This window comes from Homo sapiens, chromosome 2 (genome assembly GCF_000001405.40).
Source record: "Homo sapiens chromosome 2, GRCh38.p14 Primary Assembly".
In the NCBI taxonomy this organism is placed as follows: Eukaryota; Metazoa; Chordata; class Mammalia; order Primates; family Hominidae; genus Homo; species Homo sapiens.
The window spans coordinates 5691914-5712730 of NC_000002.12; the positions used below are offsets into that span (position 1 = coordinate 5691914).

Here is a 20817-nt window from a genome sequence, read left to right on the forward strand (position 1 = left end):
AGCCGGGCGGAGGCCGCCGTCTCAGGCTGGGCGCGTGCCCGAGTGTGTGCACCCGGGGAGTGAGCGCGCGCCGTCCGCTGTCGCCGTCGGGCCTCCCGGGGACTGGGCACAAAGGCGCGCGGGGCCTCTCCCGGGACCCGGTCCTCGGTTAGCGCCGGCGCCCGAACCATCCCGGTTCGCCCCGGGCCGCCCGCTCCCCGTGGTGCCGCGCGCCGCTTCCGAGCATCCCGGGAACAGGCGCATCTGTGCACACACGCGGATTTTTTAAAAATAACATATTTCTAGACATGCCTCCTCTCCCCCCACCCCCATCTTTGCAAAGCAGCCCGGAGGGCGGGGTGGAGGGGCGGGGCCTCCGAGTTAATAAAGGAAGATGGGCGGAGCCGGCCCCCAGCCATTGGCTAGCTGGGGGAGTGATGTCACCCATATGACACCCTGATAACTAGTTGAGAGAGAGACCTCAACTTTTTGCAGAAGGAGCGCGCGCGCCTGGGAGAGCTCGGGGTCCGGCGCTTGCGGTAGGAGCCACGAGCCGGAGAGAGGGGTCCCGGGCTGCCTCGACCGCCGTCGCCACCGCCTCTCCTGTCGCGACCGCAGCTCCCACCGCGCCGGCGGCCGTCGTCGCCGAAGCCACCACAGCCGCTGTGTGCAGCCTGGAAGGGGGGGCGGGGGGGAGGGGGGGAGCCGCGAAAGCGGGGTGCCGAGGACTTTGCAACTTGCCCAGGAAGGTGGAGGGGTGGGAGGGGGAGGGGGACCTCCGCACGAGACCCAGCGGCCCGGGTTGGAGCGTCCAGCCCTGCAGCGGATCATGGTGCAGCAGGCGGAGAGCTTGGAAGCGGAGAGCAACCTGCCCCGGGAGGCGCTGGACACGGAGGAGGGCGAATTCATGGCTTGCAGCCCGGTGGCCCTGGACGAGAGCGACCCAGACTGGTGCAAGACGGCGTCGGGCCACATCAAGCGGCCGATGAACGCGTTCATGGTATGGTCCAAGATCGAACGCAGGAAGATCATGGAGCAGTCTCCGGACATGCACAACGCCGAGATCTCCAAGAGGCTGGGCAAGCGCTGGAAAATGCTGAAGGACAGCGAGAAGATCCCGTTCATCCGGGAGGCGGAGCGGCTGCGGCTCAAGCACATGGCCGACTACCCCGACTACAAGTACCGGCCCCGGAAAAAGCCCAAAATGGACCCCTCGGCCAAGCCCAGCGCCAGCCAGAGCCCAGAGAAGAGCGCGGCCGGCGGCGGCGGCGGGAGCGCGGGCGGAGGCGCGGGCGGTGCCAAGACCTCCAAGGGCTCCAGCAAGAAATGCGGCAAGCTCAAGGCCCCCGCGGCCGCGGGCGCCAAGGCGGGCGCGGGCAAGGCGGCCCAGTCCGGGGACTACGGGGGCGCGGGCGACGACTACGTGCTGGGCAGCCTGCGCGTGAGCGGCTCGGGCGGCGGCGGCGCGGGCAAGACGGTCAAGTGCGTGTTTCTGGATGAGGACGACGACGACGACGACGACGACGACGAGCTGCAGCTGCAGATCAAACAGGAGCCGGACGAGGAGGACGAGGAACCACCGCACCAGCAGCTCCTGCAGCCGCCGGGGCAGCAGCCGTCGCAGCTGCTGAGACGCTACAACGTCGCCAAAGTGCCCGCCAGCCCTACGCTGAGCAGCTCGGCGGAGTCCCCCGAGGGAGCGAGCCTCTACGACGAGGTGCGGGCCGGCGCGACCTCGGGCGCCGGGGGCGGCAGCCGCCTCTACTACAGCTTCAAGAACATCACCAAGCAGCACCCGCCGCCGCTCGCGCAGCCCGCGCTGTCGCCCGCGTCCTCGCGCTCGGTGTCCACCTCCTCGTCCAGCAGCAGCGGCAGCAGCAGCGGCAGCAGCGGCGAGGACGCCGACGACCTGATGTTCGACCTGAGCTTGAATTTCTCTCAAAGCGCGCACAGCGCCAGCGAGCAGCAGCTGGGGGGCGGCGCGGCGGCCGGGAACCTGTCCCTGTCGCTGGTGGATAAGGATTTGGATTCGTTCAGCGAGGGCAGCCTGGGCTCCCACTTCGAGTTCCCCGACTACTGCACGCCGGAGCTGAGCGAGATGATCGCGGGGGACTGGCTGGAGGCGAACTTCTCCGACCTGGTGTTCACATATTGAAAGGCGCCCGCTGCTCGCTCTTTCTCTCGGAGGGTGCAGAGCTGGGTTCCTTGGGAGGAAGTTGTAGTGGTGATGATGATGATGATAATGATGATGATGATGGTGGTGTTGATGGTGGCGGTGGTAGGGTGGAGGGGAGAGAAGAAGATGCTGATGATATTGATAAGATGTCGTGACGCAAAGAAATTGGAAAACATGATGAAAATTTTGGTGGAGTTAAAGTGAAATGAGTAGTTTTTAAACATTTTTCCTGTCCTTTTTTTGTCCCCCCTCCCTTCCTTTATCGTGTCTCAAGGTAGTTGCATACCTAGTCTGGAGTTGTGATTATTTTCCCAAAAAATGTGTTTTTGTAATTACTATTTCTTTTTCCTGAAATTCGTGATTGCAACAAAGGCAGAGGGGGCGGGGCGGGGGAGGGGAGGTAGGACCCGCTCCGGAAGGCGCTGTTTGAAGCTTGTCGGTCTTTGAAGTCTGGAAGACGTCTGCAGAGGACCCTTTTGGCAGCACAACTGTTACTCTAGGGAGTTGGTGGAGATATTTTTTTTTCTTAAGAGAACTTAAAGAACTGGTGATTTTTTTTTAACAAAAAAAGGGACCATTGCAACTTTTGTTAATTTAATTTTTTTTTTTTTTTTTTTTTTTTTTTTTTTTGGAGGGAGAAAACTGATGTCTTCTATGCATCCGATTCTTAACAAAACTGCAGGGAGCTTGAAAAAATGCAGACTGTACAAACGCTTACAAAAAAAAAAACTGTGAACTGACTTAAGATCAGAGTTTACTTTTCAGATCAAATTGTTTATGGTTTTACAAATGTGATTTCTACTTGCCAACTTTTTTTTTGTAACTTGTTCCCTTATACCTCCTTGATTGAATACCAGACAGCCTAGACCTCAGTACAAAAGGTATTGAAACATTTTTGATACATAACAGACCTCAGTCTTTTTTAAAAATTAATATATTTTCAGGCGTATTTTTGTACAGTGAAAAGGGAACATTCTTGCTGTGTTTTTTCAGTAAGACTTTCAGGCACTTCTTCCCTTTTGATTTCTTTTTTTTCCTCTGTTTTTTAGCATGCAAGTATGTTGGTACGTTATGTCCTGGTTTAAAAAGGATTAAAATTTTAAAATAATCCTTGCATCTAAAGGCCTTGTGGTTTAAAAAAAAAAAGCAAACTTTTTTTTGTACAGCTATAGTAGAGATTTGTTCAATATTTGTAGGTAAAGATTTATTGAAAATGGTGATATAGACCTCAGAGCTGTTATCTTAGTTTAAAGATTGTATATGTACTGTACTATAGTAGGACTTTATGTATCTCATACGCTGTGATGTGGATGGGGCCCCAGATGGAAGGTTTGAAACTGGATTCTCGATTTTTAGCAAAAAAGAAAAAAAAAAGGCACATAGTTTAAAAAGTTTCTCATTTTGTGCAATATAATCTAAATAAAGTACAGACCATCTGCATATTTTGTAGCAAATGGTGGCAAAGCAGACTCAATGCACTGTCGACATCATTGCCTGTTTTTTTTTTTTTTTTTTTGTGCTGGAAGTCTGTATCTTGACAATTTTAATAAATCAGCTGGAACTGATAGAAACTCGCATCGCCAATAGTCTCTATGGAAGTCAAACTGGAGGTCCTGTTGTCGCAGAGCATTCGGTGGTGAGGCTGTTGTGTGCGCGGATGAGGGGAGGTGGCAGGAGAGAATTCTACATTTAGGGGGTTAGGCTGAAAAGTGTTCAATTAGCAGGCTGATTTCTTTTTCCTCTTCCGCTAGTTGTGAAAGACAGGGGAAGGGTGTTCTTTCTCTCTGCCCTCCCTTTCCATCTCCAGCTCCCCATTTCCTTTCTCACCTCCTCCTCCACTCCCTGCCTCTTCTCCCCACCCATCCTGGCGGGCGGGCTGCGCGGAGGCTCGGGAGCTGGCCGGGGAGGGGCGGATGGAGGGGCCTGGGTTGCCAGCTCCCTTGGTCGGGGTCCTGCTCGCTGGGGCTTGTGTGTTCTCTGCGGCGGGCCGCGTCCCCGCTGAGCCTCGCGGTGACAGCCGCCTTTGGCAGCGAGCGCTCGGGGCACTTCTATCCCCGCCTCTCAAAGGGTGGGGACAGCCGTTTCCAGATTTGAATTTTTTCTGTTCTTTATTTTTAACGCTGCATCTTCGCGTGTGCTCAGAGGTGGTTGTTGGCGGAGAACGCCGCCGCAGTGTTTGACCTCTAGCGGTGAAGGGGGAAGGGGAAGAGGAAAGGAGAGAAGTGGTCGGTGTCTGTTTCCTTCTGTCCCCCGGGGCCGTGGAGCTGTCGGAGGGAAGGAGGACGGTGCGGGGCCGCAGGGGGCGCGGGGCGCGGCGGGACCCAGGCTACGAGCGGGAGGGAGGCGGGAGTCGGGGGAAGACGCGGCAGGCCGGCCGAGGGCACCCCGAGGAACATGGCATGGCCTCTGTGCGATCCGAGTCGCGGTCTCCGGGGTGCCTGGGAGGGCCGAACCACTGGTGAGGGCGTGGGGAGCAGGGGGTGGCAGAGGGCACCCGGGCGGTAGTCCGGGACGCGCAAGGCAGAGCCCTGACGCTCCGGGTCCCCGTGCCTGGCTCTTCTTGCCTCGCCACCGCGTGCTCCTGGGCGCGCCCCGCCGCGGGCCCTTGAGGCGCGCGGAGACACCAGCGCTGGCTTCCCGGGCCCGCGGGCCGGGGAGGGAAGCCTCGGGGCTGCGGGGTGAGAGGAAGAAAGCAAACCCGGGGAGCAGGCGGCTGCCGCACCCGCGCACCCCGGGCCCTCACCACGCCCTCCCCGCGCGCCGGCTCAGGGGCTGCCCCGGAATCAGCTCCCCGGGGCCGCCGCAACGAAGGTGGATCCGCATCTTGATTGTTCTCCGGGAGCCTCCTGGGGGCTCCGGCGGCGGCGCGGGCGCGACCCATCCCGCTGGCGCTCCCCGCTCGCTGAACCCCGTTTGCCTGTCCACACCCCCTCGCTCCCCACCATTTTTCCTGACCGGCCTGTGTCCCCGAGCCCTCGCGGCAGGCCCGAGCAGGCGATCGCGGCCGGGCACGCGCGCCCCGGGCTCCCGCCCCCCTTCCGAGCATCCGCCGCCTCTTTTCTGCTGGGTCTGGGAGGAGGGAGGCTGGGAGGCCGCTCGGGGCCCAGCGTGCCAGCCCCGGAGTTCAGCCTCCCGAGCTGCGGCGCCCGCAGCGGAGGAGGTTTTCAGTGGCTGATTGAAACTCACTGCAAAATCACCACGACTCTTTCACCTACTGAGATGATTGACCGAGGTTTGGCCTTCCATTTTTACTGAGATTTGGCGAGACCGAATGGAAGCGTCCGCACAGTAACTGCAGCTGCTAGGCCAGAGGGGCCCCGGCGCCCTTCCCGCCTCCCCTCCCGCTTGCTTTTGCCTTACTCGATCTTACCACCACCCCTCCCCCGGCCCCCCGACTGAGAACTCGGGCCTCTCACCCGCCCCCCAGCCTCCCGCTCTGGGCGAGCCTCCTCCCCAGCCCCCACCCCTGGGATGCGAAGCCAGCAAGCTTTTGCTGCAGATGGACAGGTTTCTTTTCTGTGGCTTTTTCCTTTCGATAAACCATCAGATTTCAGTAGTACATTTGGGAAAAGAAGGGGCTGATGGCGTTAACCAGGTTCTCAATATAGAACTGGATTTCTGGAGTTGTTTACCTTACCCCACACCCCCTCAACATGTAGACTAATGCAGCCATTGGTGGTACATTTATTTTAGCCACGGATAATTGAACCAGCGGTTTACAATTGACACGTGCTCCGTGCTGGTGATTTTATGTGGCAGCCCTCTGCTGCAGTTCCGAAACTTGTTGGCAACGTAAACCCATTGATAGGCTGATCTATGTATTTTGAAAGCCTGAAAACTTGGCATGTCTTTTCTGTTTTAATCATAGATGAATCTTGGACATTTTCTGTGGTGAGGTGGAAACTTTAAGTAAATTAGTAAAGTAATAATTTGGCTTCAGAATGGGAAGAGATAGTCAAGATTTTTTTTTTTTAAAGCCATGTGGCCTAACTTGATACAAAAATAAAAGTAATTGTTTGGCAATCTAAATTTAAAACCTGTTAGAACTCAGGACAGGCGCTTCAATGCGCTTTTTAACAATATTTAAGGCTGTTTTGATGAGTGCGTTGTGAGAATCATCTTAATGAATTCTTTATTGAGTGTCTAAAACATAGTATAATACACATGGTATTCTTGCCACTGGATAGTCTTCAATAAAAGTTTAATTGATTTTTTTTTGTTGGTCTCTTAAGTAAGTCTTATTTTTAACTAAGCATTGACAGAATATCTTAAAATGGTAACCTGGGGGTGGCGGGTGGGTGCTGTGTGCACGGCAGCCTAGCCAGTGGGGATCCTGCTGTTTATTATAAGTAGTTCACAGACTCTGATGGCATTTTGGTAAGCTTTCCATCTTTAAGAAATTGAACCAGCATTCTCTTATTAATTCTTTAAACTGTGGAAGTAATTTCCAGTTCTTACACTCTGATACGCATCCCTTTTATTTAAAAAAAAAAAAAATGCTAATAAAAGGCAGTGTACTTAAACTGTGCTTTGCAAATATTGTGTATGTTATGAATGACTACAGACACTGGGCAAATTATTTGTAGAATGATTATCCTTTAGCTAGAGAAAGAAATCATTACAACTCTTTTGGGCAGAGATGTTTCTTTTTAATGTTAATCAAGGGGAAGTGATTTAAATATGCATAAATGTAGCAGTCAGGGTGATTTAGTTGCTTTTTTCATGAAAGAAAAAGACTCAAAAGACAAGACTTATTTTTCTCTTCTGGGACTTGAAATCATAATCATCTGATATTAGTACAGTACAAGAAATTTACATTTGTTTTTTACTTCAGAATTTAAGTGACTTTTGCCCAAGGAATTTGAGAAATAAGGCAAATAAGTTGCTCTATTTTAAAGTAGTCATTCAATATAAATATATTATATCAATCTTAACTTTTTTATTCTCTGATATGATTAATAATATGTATATTCTTACTTTTCTTCTAATGGGCATATGTATCCTTGTGGACACTTTGAGAGAGGTTTTCTTGGACTCTCCCATTTATAGAATCTTTATACTCTTTTACTGTGTGGTTCCCTGCTTTTAACAGATTTCTGAGGCAAATATATTTGTGCTTTTTTCTTATGTAGGAAGACCAGCGAAAATAGTTTACTGAGTTGTCAATTTTATCAGTAGATAAGAAACTTTCTTTATTACAGTTTCAGGGAAGATTTTTTCAGGATATTTCTCAGTTATTCTAAGGGCCAAATTTTGTAAAATTTCCATTAGGAATGTCAGTTTCAAATACCCTTTGTATAGCCTAAGCCTGTGAGGATAACAAGAATGAGCCTTACCTATCCTAACACAGGGATTTACAAGTTCCCAAAGTAACCGTCTCCATGTAACTCTTGACATACTTTTCTGAGATTTGGCTTATTTTTATTATTGGTTATTTCTCACTGTTCATTCTATTTGATTTATTCTACAACATCCCCTTTTATTTAATGATCTGGAAAATTCTGCTCTTTGATAACAACTCAGGATTTTTTTGTTCAGTTTTGGTTTTTGCCCCTTCCTGTGGAGCCTACATTTTCAACCACAATAAAGATGAAACAAAATTTATGAAACTGAGCTCTCTTCCATTTTACTTACTGCTGGCTTTTTTTTTTTTTTTTTTCCTTGATTCCTACCATACCTTCGTTTTTTTCATTGTACTTTTTTAACACTACCTATATCCATTAGCTGCCTAATTAGTTTTATCTGTTCCATGTGGATGCAGTGAGTTTATAAGAGAATTTCACAAACAAGTAGTTTTTTAGTGAACTTAAAATAAACAGAATTTTAAAGGAGACCTATTTTTATACTCAATAAAAGCACAAAAGTGCAGAAAGTATAAAACGGCTTACAAAGGGAGACACAAGCTCATAATGTTCCATGTATAAAAGTAATAACTTTATTGGGTAGAGATATTCTTACAAGATCTAGCACCTCTGCCAGTGCACAGATAGGACTGTTTTAAATGATTTGGGAACTTTTGGTTGCCTGCAGTTGTGAACAGAGAACTTCTCTACAGAGAAACAAACCACTAAAAGCAATATGACCGAGTTGAGATGTGGTTTCCAATGAGCAATTGGTGAATTTAAGCAACCTGGATGTGCATATGTGGAGGCTCCCGTCTCACTGTTTGATCAAACTTCTTTTATGTAGTCACGTAGACTTGATTTTTTCTGCTGTGAAAATGAAAAAATAAAGCAATATGACAAAAAGTTTAAAAATGCATAAAAAATAGGATTTCCTCTAGGCTCCTCGAAGAGATTTTTTTAATATGATGCTTGTCTTACTTTCTTAGACACGTTACATTTCCCCTTCCAAAAAAAAAAAAAAGGACAACTGGAAGTAATTTATCATATAAAGAATTTTGATCAAATAGATATTGACAAAGGGCCCTCTGTCACATTTTTCTTCATCCAGCTTTTGTTCAAAAACAGTATGCCTCCTCCCTTGAATCACATAGGGAGAAACGTTATACTCCATTCTCATTAATTTCCCATTTTGTCTACTTTTACTCTTGTACATATGTTGTGGGTTTAAGAGTCTTTTGCATTTGTTCTGTGACACCTTTTTTTGAATTGACTGTTTTAAAACGGAGGCCTATTTTTTCCGGTTTGGGACTCCTAGTGGTTATGGCATCCCATAATGCTTCGTGACGGCCACCAGGACAGAACCACCTGATGTTTTAGAGCAGTTTTCAGCATGACACTGTTAACAAGTGTGTATTTTCCAAGGCCACATGAAACTTACTTTCTTAGCCACTCCAGGTTTGGGAGCAGAAAAGCTGAAAAACCCTTTTGTGTAGAAGTCTGAGTGGTTTGTGGGGGGGACCTTTTTTAGAGTTTGCATGCCAGCGCACGGCCTATTGCTGTGAAACAGAGAGAAGGTAAAGCTACCTGAGGCAGTGCGCTGGAGGATGAAGTGTTTGATAGCACTAGGGGGGAAAGAAAATGCATGGCAAAGTTTCGTCTTCTCGTAGACTATCTAGCATGCAGAGTGTAGTGTGTTGAAACGGTGTATGACATTGCTGTATCAAAGTTGTAAAATTAAGCATTATTTATTGAAAACTATGTATTTTTTTGTAAAAACCTGATCACATAGAGAATATCAGTGGCTTGTGCTTGTGCTTCGATCTAACCAGCTTCTTGACCCACCCCCCCTTGGTATGCAGTGTTAATGCTCAGGGTTGAAAATAGTACACTCCAATGTCTCTTTTGCAAGAGTTTTTCACAGAGGATTACATTTGTTCAAAAGACTCTAATAAAATTGTGTGATCAATCTTCACTTGTGGTTTTTATGTGACTTTTTTCTAGTTTTGCATTTGATAACTGCTGTTTAATTCTGAAAATGTTGTCTCAAACCAGATGTCAGGGACAGGCTTGAAGATTCCTGATGTCTCAGCACCCAGCACGGCTGTCAGCCTCGGCAGGAGGAAGACCACGGAAAGTGAGTTTTCTGGGCAGGTTGGAGAGCTGCTGACAGTGAGAATGAGCATGGTGATTACATCTCAATATATTAAACTGGCTGATAGAGGGAATAAAACCACAGACAAAGTGTAGAGGGGTAGATTAACATGTTTTGTCAGAAATGTCTGAAGTAGAAAATGAAGGAAAAATATCAGGGGCAGTTGCTGCTATTGAATTCAATACCAGCAAACTCCATTCCTCAGTGTCTTTTTTTTTTTCCTATAAACAATTTACAGTGTAAATGTATTTTGACATAGAAATCATTCTGTATTGAGATTCTTGATATAAAATGCTTTTATGAGAGCCTGTAAGTGATCCTTGGAATTATTATCAGATTTTTTAAAAGATGTGTTTACATGGTGAGTGTGTGTTGCATATTAAATTTGGTTTTGTAGAAACGTTTGTGTTGTATTGTAAAAAAATCTCAAAGTGCACAATTAACACAGCCGCTCTTAGGTTCTTGGTTATGTCAATTTCCACTACAGACCAAAGAACAAACATCAGACCTATCTATGGCAACTTTTTCTAATAATTACATCATTTATTCAATGTCTTGGCCTCATTTCAGAATATTTTTGAATGTCTTTCATCTTGGTAGGATTTTATTTTTATTTACCTTTTGAAGGAAACAAAACATAGACCCTGTAGAATTTTTATCTAGCAAAGAAGTTCCTTGCAATGAACACTAATAGATCCTCAATATGTGTCAAATTCCCCATTGGGACTCCTTGTACTATTTGCTATACAATTTGCCTTTCAGTGATGTGGTGTTTTTCTTAAATAGATTTTTTTTTCTAAAATTTAATAAATTTATTGACACCTTTGGTTAAAATGTCACTGATACAATTTTTAAGAAAACGTAAAATGTTGAAACATTGATCTTCTCCCAGTAAATCTAGGAGTGAAAGGAAGAGTTGAAGGGATCTTTCCTTCAGTGATAGCTTATCTATAGATGTCCTAAATATAGTCTACGCTCACACAATGTCATGATCCAAATACGGATAGTAATAGCCTTGTCAGAGAATATGTTGGTTCTCCTCAAAAGTAAATTCTTTCATAAAATGAATAGCTTGGTGAACTTGAAAAAATTGAATCCTGATTATAACATTGGTCAGAGCACATACTATTTCATTAAAAAGGCCATTCTTTCGGTGTGTTGAGAACATGGAGAGTAGAAAGAGGTCCTAGCAGAGCAGCTCATCATGCCACTTTATACTGAGTCTTTTGATAGCACTGAATTGCAAAGCTACACATTTTGTGACCTACCATCAGACAACTGAATCTAACCATTAAAGGCAGTACATGAGAAAAAAGTTAGGAGAGATAAGATTTTTTGAACCTTTAAAGATTTCTTTCTGTTAAATAATCACCAAGGTGCGTTTAGCCTGTGTTTAAATACCATAGGTGCCAATCATTTCTGCCATCCTTATTCTGTTCTGAAGGATTTTGCAAACTCACATTTCCAGCTGGACTAAATGACCATGTTCCACCCAGTGCCCCTTGGCTACTAACCAAACAGCAGCTCATGGACAATAGGCTTGCTCAGAACCTGGGACTCACTCACTCTGTCCTAAGATTTGAACTGCACTAATAACCAGACTCCTCAGTCCCAGATTTGCAGTTAAGAAACACACACACAGGCCTAGTTCTTGGTGAGAGTGGAGTTAGGAGGCCAAGAGGAACTCTGAAGCCTGAGGTAGCCGTAGCCACCACAAGCTGAAATGAGGAGGTTGGAAATATGAGGAAAACCTAGAAAGCAGAGAAATCATAAGGGAGAACCACAGGAGCCCTGAGAGGAGGAATCTGGGGTATCTGGGAGAGGCGGGCTTTGGCAGCCCTCTGCCCCAGCTCCATGGGGTTTCCTGCAGCAGATCTGTGGCCAGGCTGCTGGCAGACTGGGAGGTATTTGGCTATTCCTTGTTACTAACAAAAACATATTTTTTTGTTTGAGTGGCAACAAAGCCAGACAAAAAATTACATTCCCTTTCCTCCCTTGCAGAGAGAGATGACCATGTGACCAGGAAAACCCCTCTACAAGGAAGCATACATAGTGGGTATGCACCTTTCTGCATTTGTTTCTTCCTTCCATTTGGGATGTAGGTGAGATGGCTTGAGCTGCAGGTGTGATCTTATGATCAGGAAAGAGGAAAAAGAAATTTCAGATTCCTTGACCAGCCATGACAAACTTGAGCCACTGAATCACTGCCAACTGCTGCGTTGTGTTTGAGTAAGCTACAGTTACTTGGATGTAAATGTAGCCAAACCAAAACTCTAAAAAACTTCTATTTTCCTGAGATTATTTGAGTGGATTTGTGTTTCTCTTCCCCCATTGAGTAAAACTACAAAGAGTTTAAATAGCTGAAGAGGGAGGAGGATGTTTTAAACACTGTATTAATATTAAAATATTAATACATGGGGAGACTTTAGTGAAACTCACAAAAGTTGATGAAAATATTTTTTAAAAAAGTAAAGAGAAAAAGAAAGAAATGTCAAGAATTTGTACAATCACAAATAGGACACCAGATTTCCACTTACATTTTATGTTTATTTTATATAAATATTTCGATTAAGATTTGTTTGAGAATTGCTTATACATTTGCAGAGCTTCTCAGCTTGGTGATGATACAAGATCACTCTTTGTCTTCACATCTCAAGCATTTCCTGATTCCATTGCCAGCATGTACCTCTTCTAGGTGAATAGTTTCTCACTAATCTAATCCTTTCAGATTAAATTAAGCTTCACTTGATTCGGTAGATGGCATCTTCAAAATGAAGGGGCCCTCAGATACTATTTACTCCCATTTTTTCCCAACAGTTAAAAATTTTGGTTTTCCAACTCATAGAATATTGCAAGCAATAGACATTGAACACCAGGAAGGGTGAGAGGGCAGGAGAGGGGTGAGGGGTGAGAAATTACTTATTGGGCACAATGTACATTATTTGGGAGACGGTTACAATAAAAGTCCGGGCTTCACAACTACACAGTATTTCTATGTAACAAAACTGAACTGGTACCCCTTAAATTTATACAAAATAAATAAGAAATGGAAGGCCAATGTAAGCATGCTTTCTCGAAAAAAGAAAGAATATCAAAGTAATATATTTAGAGTGGTGAATTGAGAACCTGGAGAAAGAGCCAGAAAAAAATAAAAGAAAAAAAAATTATTAACAAGGTGGCTATAAAAAGCAAACAAAAAGCTAAAAAGTCTGGGATCATTTAGTTTAAAGATAAACATCTCTACTCAAATGACCCCTGAGTGCATCACTGTGTTAGATAATGTTACAAAGATCAGTGTTTATAATATTGACACTAACTTCTCAGAAGATGCTTGCATCGTGTTCATTACGGCTTATTTACGGAGGCAGGGAAGTATGAAATCTTGCTTAAGTATTCTACCCGACATTTTAAATGGAACCAAAATGTTTAGGAAGAATCACTTTTGGCAAAACCCTCTCACTTGAGAGTATTCTCTAAATGAACGTATTTTTGGTCCAAGAGCTAGCAGAAGATAACACAGGGAAGAAGTTTTGCTTTGTGGGAACTAAAGAGGTGGAATAGAATACTCCAGTGAAGTCACCCCGTGTGACTGAGATACTACAATTCAGTCCGAGTCTGCATAATCCAGAAGATGGAGCAGAGGCAGATGAGATGGCTACAAAACTGGCGGGAATGAGGAGTGCCAGCCCAGCCCCAAGAAGGAAGGCTGGGGTGGCAGAGCCAAGGAGGCCGGGATGGAGGATCCAGGGAGGCTGGGGAGGAGGAGCTGAGAAGGGGTGGAGGAGCTAGGGAGGCCAGGGTGGAAGAGTTGAGACCTAGGTGGAGGAGCTGGGGAGGCTGGGGTGGAGGAGCTGGGAGGCTGGGGTGGAGGAGCTGGGAGGCTGGGGTGGAGAAGCTGGGGGTACCAGGTTGGAAGAACAGGGGAGGCAGGGATGTAGAAGCTGCAAGGACCAGGGTGGAGGAGCTAGGGGAGTAGGGGTGGAGGAGCCGGTGAGAAAGGGGTGGAGGAGTAGGGGATGCCAGGGTGGAGGAGTTGAGGAGAATGGGGTGGAGGAGCAGGGGAAGCAGGGGTGGAGGAGCTGGGGTGGCCGAGGTGGAGGAGCAGGGGAGGCCAGGGTGGAGGAGCCGAGAAGGGGTGGAGCTGGGGAGGCCGGGGTGAAGGAGTTGGGGGGACTTGGATGGAGGAGCAAGGGAGGCAGGGGTGGAGGACCTGAGAAGGGGTGGAGTTTGGGAGTCTGGGGAGGAGGAGCTGGGGAGGTCAGGGTGGAAGAGTTGAGACCTAGCTGGAGGAGCTGGGGTGAAGGAGCTGGGAGGCTGGGGTGGAGGAGCTGGGAGACCAGGGTAGAGGAGTTGAGGAGGCCGGGGTGGAGGAATTGGGGAGGCTGGAGTGGAGGAGCAGGGGAGAAAGGGGTGGAGGAAAAGGGGAAGAAGGGGTGGAGGAGGAGGGGAGGCAGGGGTGGAGCTGGGGGGACCGGGGTGGAGGAGCTGGGAGGCCAGGGTGGAGGAGTTGAGGAGGCTGGGGTAGAGGAGCAGGGAGGCTGGGGTAGAGGAGCAGGGAGGCTGGGGTAGAGGAGCAGGGAGGCTGGGGTAGAGGAGCAGGGAGACTGGGGTAGAGGAACAGGTAGGCTGGGGTGGAGGAGCTGGGAGGCCAGGGTGGAGGAGTTGAGGAGGCTGGGGTAGAGGAGCAGGGAGGCTGGGGTAGAGGAGCAGGGAGGCTGGGGTAGAGGAGCAGGGAGGCTGGGGTAGAGGAGCAGGGAGGCTGGGGTGGAGGAGCAGGGAGGCTGGGGTGGAGGAGCAGGGAGACTGGGGTGGAGAAGCTGGGAGGCTGGGGTGGAGGAGCTGGGAGGCTGGGGTAGAGGAGCAGGGAGACTGGGGTGGAGGAGCAGGGAGGCTGGGGTGGAGAAGCTGGGAGGCTGGGGTGGAGGAGCAGGGAGGCTGGGGTGGAGGAGCTGGGAGGCTGGGGTGGAGGAGCAGGGAGACTGGGGTGGAGGAGCAGGGAGGCTGGGGTGGAGGAGCAGGGTCAGTCTTTCCTGGGGGTGGCGGCTGGGGCAGCCACACAGGGTAGGACACACTGGGTGGAAGTGGTGGCGGAAGGATGAATTCAACGTGAGTAAAACATGGAATGTGGTTGCGTTCAGAGTAAGGGAAGAACTGGTGTCCGTGAGTCTGACGGCGAGCTGGGCAGGTGTGACCTGGAAGGGCGGGCAGGTGGGGCACGGCGCCCCGGAGGGAGCCAGGGGCCACTCGCTGGACACTGAACGTGCTGGTTGTGCCTGGGACGATCCTGGGCAGCGCCCCTCCCTGCCTGCGCGGGTCCCGTGGACGGGGCCCTCCTCTCTCCGTGCGTCCTGTCGCTGTCAGGGCATCGGTGGTCGCGGGAGGTCTTGGGTGTTCATGGGGGTCACGCGGCAAAGGCCTCTGGTGCCCGGAGGAGCCTGGGCTCTGAGGCCTGAACGACTTGGTTTCCGGAATTCCTTCCGCTGCTTTCGACCGCGGGACTCTGGAGCTTTGCTAACCTGCCCCGTGCCTGGGTCTCCTCTAGGTCAAGGAGAGGGTGTGGACTGGAGGAAATCTAAGTCCGTGGAGACGTAGCCCTCTGGCTCTAACCTGTGAGGACGGGGTTCCCCCTGCCTCGTGGACTCTGCTCTCCAGAGCCTGGGACCCTGGCAGGTGCTTCGGATGAAGGAGCCGGGAGGAGCCGACTGCCTTTCCTTCCCGCCGGGATCCGCGAAAACGTGTGGTCGGGACTCCGAGCGCGGAACCCTCAAGGGGAAGAAGAGGCCCCGTGGGGAACGCGCAGCGTGTCAGGGCTGGCACCAGCTCCGTTCTGGAAAAGAAATTGCGACGAAAAGAGACGGCAGCCGTGACCTCTGCTCTGTATTTCCTTCCTCTTCGGAGAGGAAGATGGAATTTAGTAGTTTATTGAGGGGCGGGAGATCCTGGCTAGCGCAGAGTGTAGCCATCGTTTTCGGCTCTGGCACACTCGAGGGCTGTCATTCACATGTGTAATAGATACGAATTCGGAAAGATCCAGTGGAAAGAATACTGCAACAACTTCTCGCAATTACTTCGATAATTCGCAATTGCTCTATTAACATCGTATCAGGAATGGTGGGTCACTTTGGACTCTTGTGTAGATAAGATAGACTAAGGGTTAAAGGACGTTCAGCCTCCCACCCACCAAGAAACACACAGAAGAAAGAGTGAGAGGAAGAGCTGGAAGTGATTTTAAATACACTGTGATTGCTAAAGCAAGTCAATCATCTCCAAACTGTGGTCTGCTTCAATTACTAGTTAGAAATGATTTGTGAAAGACCTCACAGAAGACTGCCCACACCACGATGCATTGAGAAATTGTTTTCTAGTACAGTGGTCTTTGAAAGCAATTGCTACCGTCCTCAGAAACTGTGCAGGATCATGTATAGGGATGAAGAAAAACACAAATTGGAGTGCTTTATTTGTACTTCTTTTCCAGCTTACAAAAAATAAAGATATTATGCTTCATTAACATTTAATGACTAGATTAACAATTGTACATGTGTATGATTTTTAAAATAATACATATATTAGGGATATCTGCTTAAAAGACTTAACAGATAGAATTGCCTGATGAGACTAGATTCCAAGCCTCTGTTCTAGAATACAGAGCAGATTCTATGCTATACTGGAAGGGCAGTGGATGAAGAATCCGAAGAATGGCTTTCAATTCTGGTGAGCCTCCAGGTCAGCTGTGCAGTATTAGGTAACTTGATTTACCTTTCTGGTCCTTTGTTTTCTCACGCATAAATTGGTGGCTGAACTAGATCATATTGGAGGTTTCTTTCAGGTCCAATAAATAATGCAATAGCCACTGCTTATTTGCACTCAGAGTGCCAGCTTGGAGGCACCAGTATAAATTCAGCTTCCACATCTGGGAGGGAGAGCGAATGAAGAGATAGGGCAAGACAGTGAGACTGGGGCCTGTGGAAACAGGGGAAGGCAAATTTCAACTAAGGATATTCACATTCAAAACATTTAAAACACCCAGTGGGTCAAACTGAATGGCCATTGGCCCCCTTATCTTGTTGCTTTGGGGATGGTCAGTGGTTTTGAAGTCACTGGTTACTCTGCTCCCGGACAGAGCTATTGTGAACTTTACAATGGGGAGAAGAGAAACAATTGTCTTCCAGGACAGCAAATTTTCAAACTCAAGTTTGAGGTAATTAAAAAAAAAAAAGCTTCTTTTTATATCATTATTTCAGTTAACAAACTTCTTTAACTGAGAGAGCATACCAATATTATAGCATTAATAAGATAATATAATGTTTCATAAAACAGAAATCTCATTTCTAAACGTACCAAACAAACATCAAAATCACACAATCAAAAGTACAGGTTTCTGAGTCTACTTCCCAGAATACAGATTCCATGTATTTGAAAAAAAGCCTGGAGTCTATATCTTTAACCAATGCATTCAACTAACTCAAAGGCTGTTCAGCCACAGACCAGTGGCTGCCAATCATAGCTCTTAAGTCAGTGAAGGAATGACACACACACAATCCTTTTGTCAAAAATCAGTTTCTTTGAGCCAAAAAATAAGTTTTCTATTAATAAGCACAATCTGCCTCACCCCCTCTATAGCTTTGGTCATGCCTCATTCTACAAAATTTTGTTGTGCGTGAAGCTTTGGGTGTTGTTGAGCACACGCAGATGAAAGACGGTTCCTGTCTCCAGGGGCTTGTAGTAGCCAGATGTGTGAGAGCCGAGTTTGAGAGGCCATCTGCAATGCTCACCTGCACACTGAGAGCTGGCACTGGGGTGAGCAAGTCGCCAGCCCAGGAAGGCAGCCCCGGCTGGGGAGGCAGGAATAATGCCTGAGTCTTGAAGGTGCGTGGAAGGAAAAGGACAGAGGTGGGCTTTCCAGGCAGCTACTGGCAAGAAGTTGGAGACCTTGAACGTGGCCCTGGAACTGTACGTTGTTTGCTCTTCCTGGGCCGCAGAGCGGGAGAATAGCAAGGCACCATGCAGATAGCCAGGACATATGTGCTGGTTGCATCCTTGGTCTTGTTCTGACACAGGACACTTGTGTAGAGTTGGATCCCTGTTTTTTAAGTCTCTTCTTTTAACTGGCCCCTGTGATCAGACCTGAGACCCATGTTTTACAGATGTGGTCTGAGAGTTGGGGCAAACCAAGTCATATGAAATGCACACCTGGATTTTTCCATTGCTGGCTCACTGACTAATAGTGCTGTATTGGGGGGAAAGCTGAGAAAATAAAGAAAAATGGGAAACCCCAGAGGCCTGTGAATAATCTGAGCAAACCTGAAGGTTGAATAAACCTCTGATACAGAAACGGACCTCTCAGTCCATTTTCTCATCTGCAAAGTGGGGCAATCACGCTGCATACGCCAGACACTGACACCATAAGGCACAGCCACAAACACGATTGCAGTTTCTTAATAATGGCCAGCTATTCATGTCACTCAAGCTTTGTGTGTTTGGAATTTTCCCCACCTGTGAAATAGGGATCATCATCCTTGTCTCACAGGGCTGTTCTGTCGCATAATTAATTAATATTTGTAAAGCTTTTTGAGACCTCCTGACTTACATTAACTCTATGAAAACTGGCGAAGCATGTTACGAAGCCCTAGAACTAAGGACTAAAGGAAAGGGGAGAAATGGAGCCATTCATTTTGGGACAGACAACGTGTTTCATGCTTTAACACGCAAAGTGAAGCAGAAGCTGAAGATGGTTCTGCAAGAGATGGCAAAGAAGACAATGAAAAGGACGCTTGCCACATAGTTGTAGGGAGCAGATTAAAAACAAACAAAAAAACTAGCCCCTCTATAATTATATCAATTCTGGGGGATTATTTCTTCCAGATTGTTGATGGAAGGCTTCTCAGAATTGGAATGTCAATACAGGCACGTCAAAGAGGTAGGAAGAACAGGAGGAGGTGATATTGTACATCAAAATGATTTATCATGCTAATGAGATACAATTTGTCAGTGACAGTGGTGTTTATACACTTCAGACAAAAAGAAGAATGAAAAACACAAGTGCACTTCCCACACGAGACTGTCACCTATTGACTTGGAGTACACACAAACATACACCCAACAAGAACAGAAGGTGACTTCAGAAGAACCAAAGCCCAGAACATGCATGTTGAAGGCCAAGGTCAATAGGAAATTATGTAAAATGGAAAAACATGCAAGGAATTGGCCAGGCACAGAGAACAGAGTTAACTCCGTCACACAGGAACCCAGATGAGTGACGTCATCAAGACCCTTTCCGTATGGCTCCATTGCTGGGGTGGTTCCACGTGGACACTCAGTTGCTCAGCTGGCACAGACAGTAGCTGGGGAGGGTAAGAAACAGGACACCACAAAGAAATACGGGAGGCCACAGAAGTATCTTCCTGCTGATAGGAGCCACCATTTCCCCAATCAAATTCCACTGACACAATTACTCTTTAGGGCAGCTCCATTAGAAGGTTTATTCATCAAGGTTCTCCAAAAAAATAGAATCCATGGGATGTGCATGCATTAGAAAGAGATTTCATTTAAGGAATTGGTTCACTTGGTTGTGGAGGCTTGGTAAGCAAGTCCAAAATTGGATGGGGGAGAAGTCCAGGGTGGGGACAGGGGAAAGAGGGGCAGTTTGAGTCTGAACACCATTTGCTGTGGGACCAGGAGGAGCTGAGCTTGCAGATGAAGTCCAAAGACAGGCTGCTAGAAGGATCTTCTCTTCCTTAGGGGAGCCAGTCTAATCTGCTTTACTCAAAGTCCACCTATTTAAATGTGGGTTTCATCTCAAACACTATTATAGACACATTTAGAATAATGTTTGACCAGCCAAGGTGACGCATAAAATAAACCATCACCTGAGGTGAGAGACCTGTTATTAAAAGAGGGATACCGGCCAGGCACATTTTGGGAGGCTGAGACAGGAGAATTGCTTGAGCCCAGGAGTTCAGGACCAGCCTGGGCAACATAATGAGACCTCTTCTTTACAAATAATTTAAAAATTAGCCAGACTTGGTGGCCCATGCCTGTAATCCCAGCTACCCAGGAGGCCGAAGCAGAAAGATCATTTGAGGCCAGGAGGTTGAGGCTGCAGTGAGCCCTGATCACGCCACTGCACTCCAGCCTGGGTGACAGCGTGAGACCCAAGACCCTATCATAAAAAGAGAGAGAGAAAGAAAGAAAAAGAAAGAGACTTTGCTGAATCTCCTTCTTCAAAACAAACTAACAAAGAAACCAGCCCTCAGTAAAGTCTAATAAAAAAAGAAAGATATAAATGTGAAAAGGATCTATCCCTAGAAAATTTGGAATTCTGCCTGAAAGAGGAGGTGATGTGATATAAATATTTCCAAATCTTTTTGGACCTGTTGTAGCCACTTGGGGAGCAGTATGTATGATACTCCCTAACCTGGCATTCAAGCTTCTGCTACCTGGTACCAAATCATTTCCCCAAAGTCAACTTGTTTTTACTGTCATTTTGGGAAAGCACTCATTCTGTGACATCTGTCTGTATTTATTGCCCCTTGCAATATAATCCCCTGCTTCTTTTTTGCCCCTTTTTCTTTATGCATCTCTTCAGGGCCTGGGCAGGTAGGATGCTGTTGTAGAAAGAAGCCTGACAGGGAAACAATAATGATGACACTTACTGGGTGTCAGGCATCACTCTTTGTGGGTTCACATTAAATAGCTTGTTTAGTGTTTACTGCAATCCAGCAAAGAAGGAGTTGTTATTCTTCCAATTTTGCAGAGAAGGACTCAATAATTTGCTGGAGGTCCCAAAGTGTATAAGTCCATTCTCTCACTGCTGTAAAGAAATACCTGAGACTGGGTAATTTATAAAGAAGAGAGGTTTAATTGACTCATGGTTCTGCAGCTTGTACAGGAAGCATGACAGCATCAGCTTCTGGGGCGGCCTCAGGGAGCTTTTACTCATGGCAGAAGGCCAAGTGGGAACAGGTGTCTTCACACAGCCAAAGCAAGAGGACGAGAGAGAGAGAGAGAGGAGGGGGCACATGTTTTTAAAATGACCAGATCTCACGAGCACTCAGTTACTTCACAAGAACAGTATCAGTAGTGAAATTTGCCCCCATGAGCCAATCACCTCCCACCTGGCCTCACCTCCAACACTGAGGATTATAATTCAACCTGAGATTTGGGTG

General features: G+C 47.4%; 1 protein-coding gene across 1 annotated transcript, besides 2 other annotated features; it reads left to right on the top strand.

The window, feature by feature from the left end:
* Nucleotides 471-9472, top strand: SOX11 (SRY-box transcription factor 11). The gene has a single exon (NM_003108.4). It carries the CDS (start codon nucleotides 809-811, stop codon nucleotides 2132-2134), a length of 1326 nt encoding a protein of 441 aa, NP_003099.1. The 5' UTR covers nucleotides 471-808; the 3' UTR covers nucleotides 2135-9472.
* Nucleotides 4694-4783: a silencer, noted in NCBI's record as "silent region_11118". NCBI's record gives its function as "represses an Ori minimal core promoter by ATAC-STARR-seq in GM12878 lymphoblastoid cells {active_cell/tissue: GM12878}" and the evidence as "EXISTENCE:reporter gene assay evidence [ECO:0000049][PMID:35858748]".
* Nucleotides 5074-5243: a silencer, noted in NCBI's record as "silent region_11119". NCBI's record gives its function as "represses an Ori minimal core promoter by ATAC-STARR-seq in GM12878 lymphoblastoid cells {active_cell/tissue: GM12878}" and the evidence as "EXISTENCE:reporter gene assay evidence [ECO:0000049][PMID:35858748]".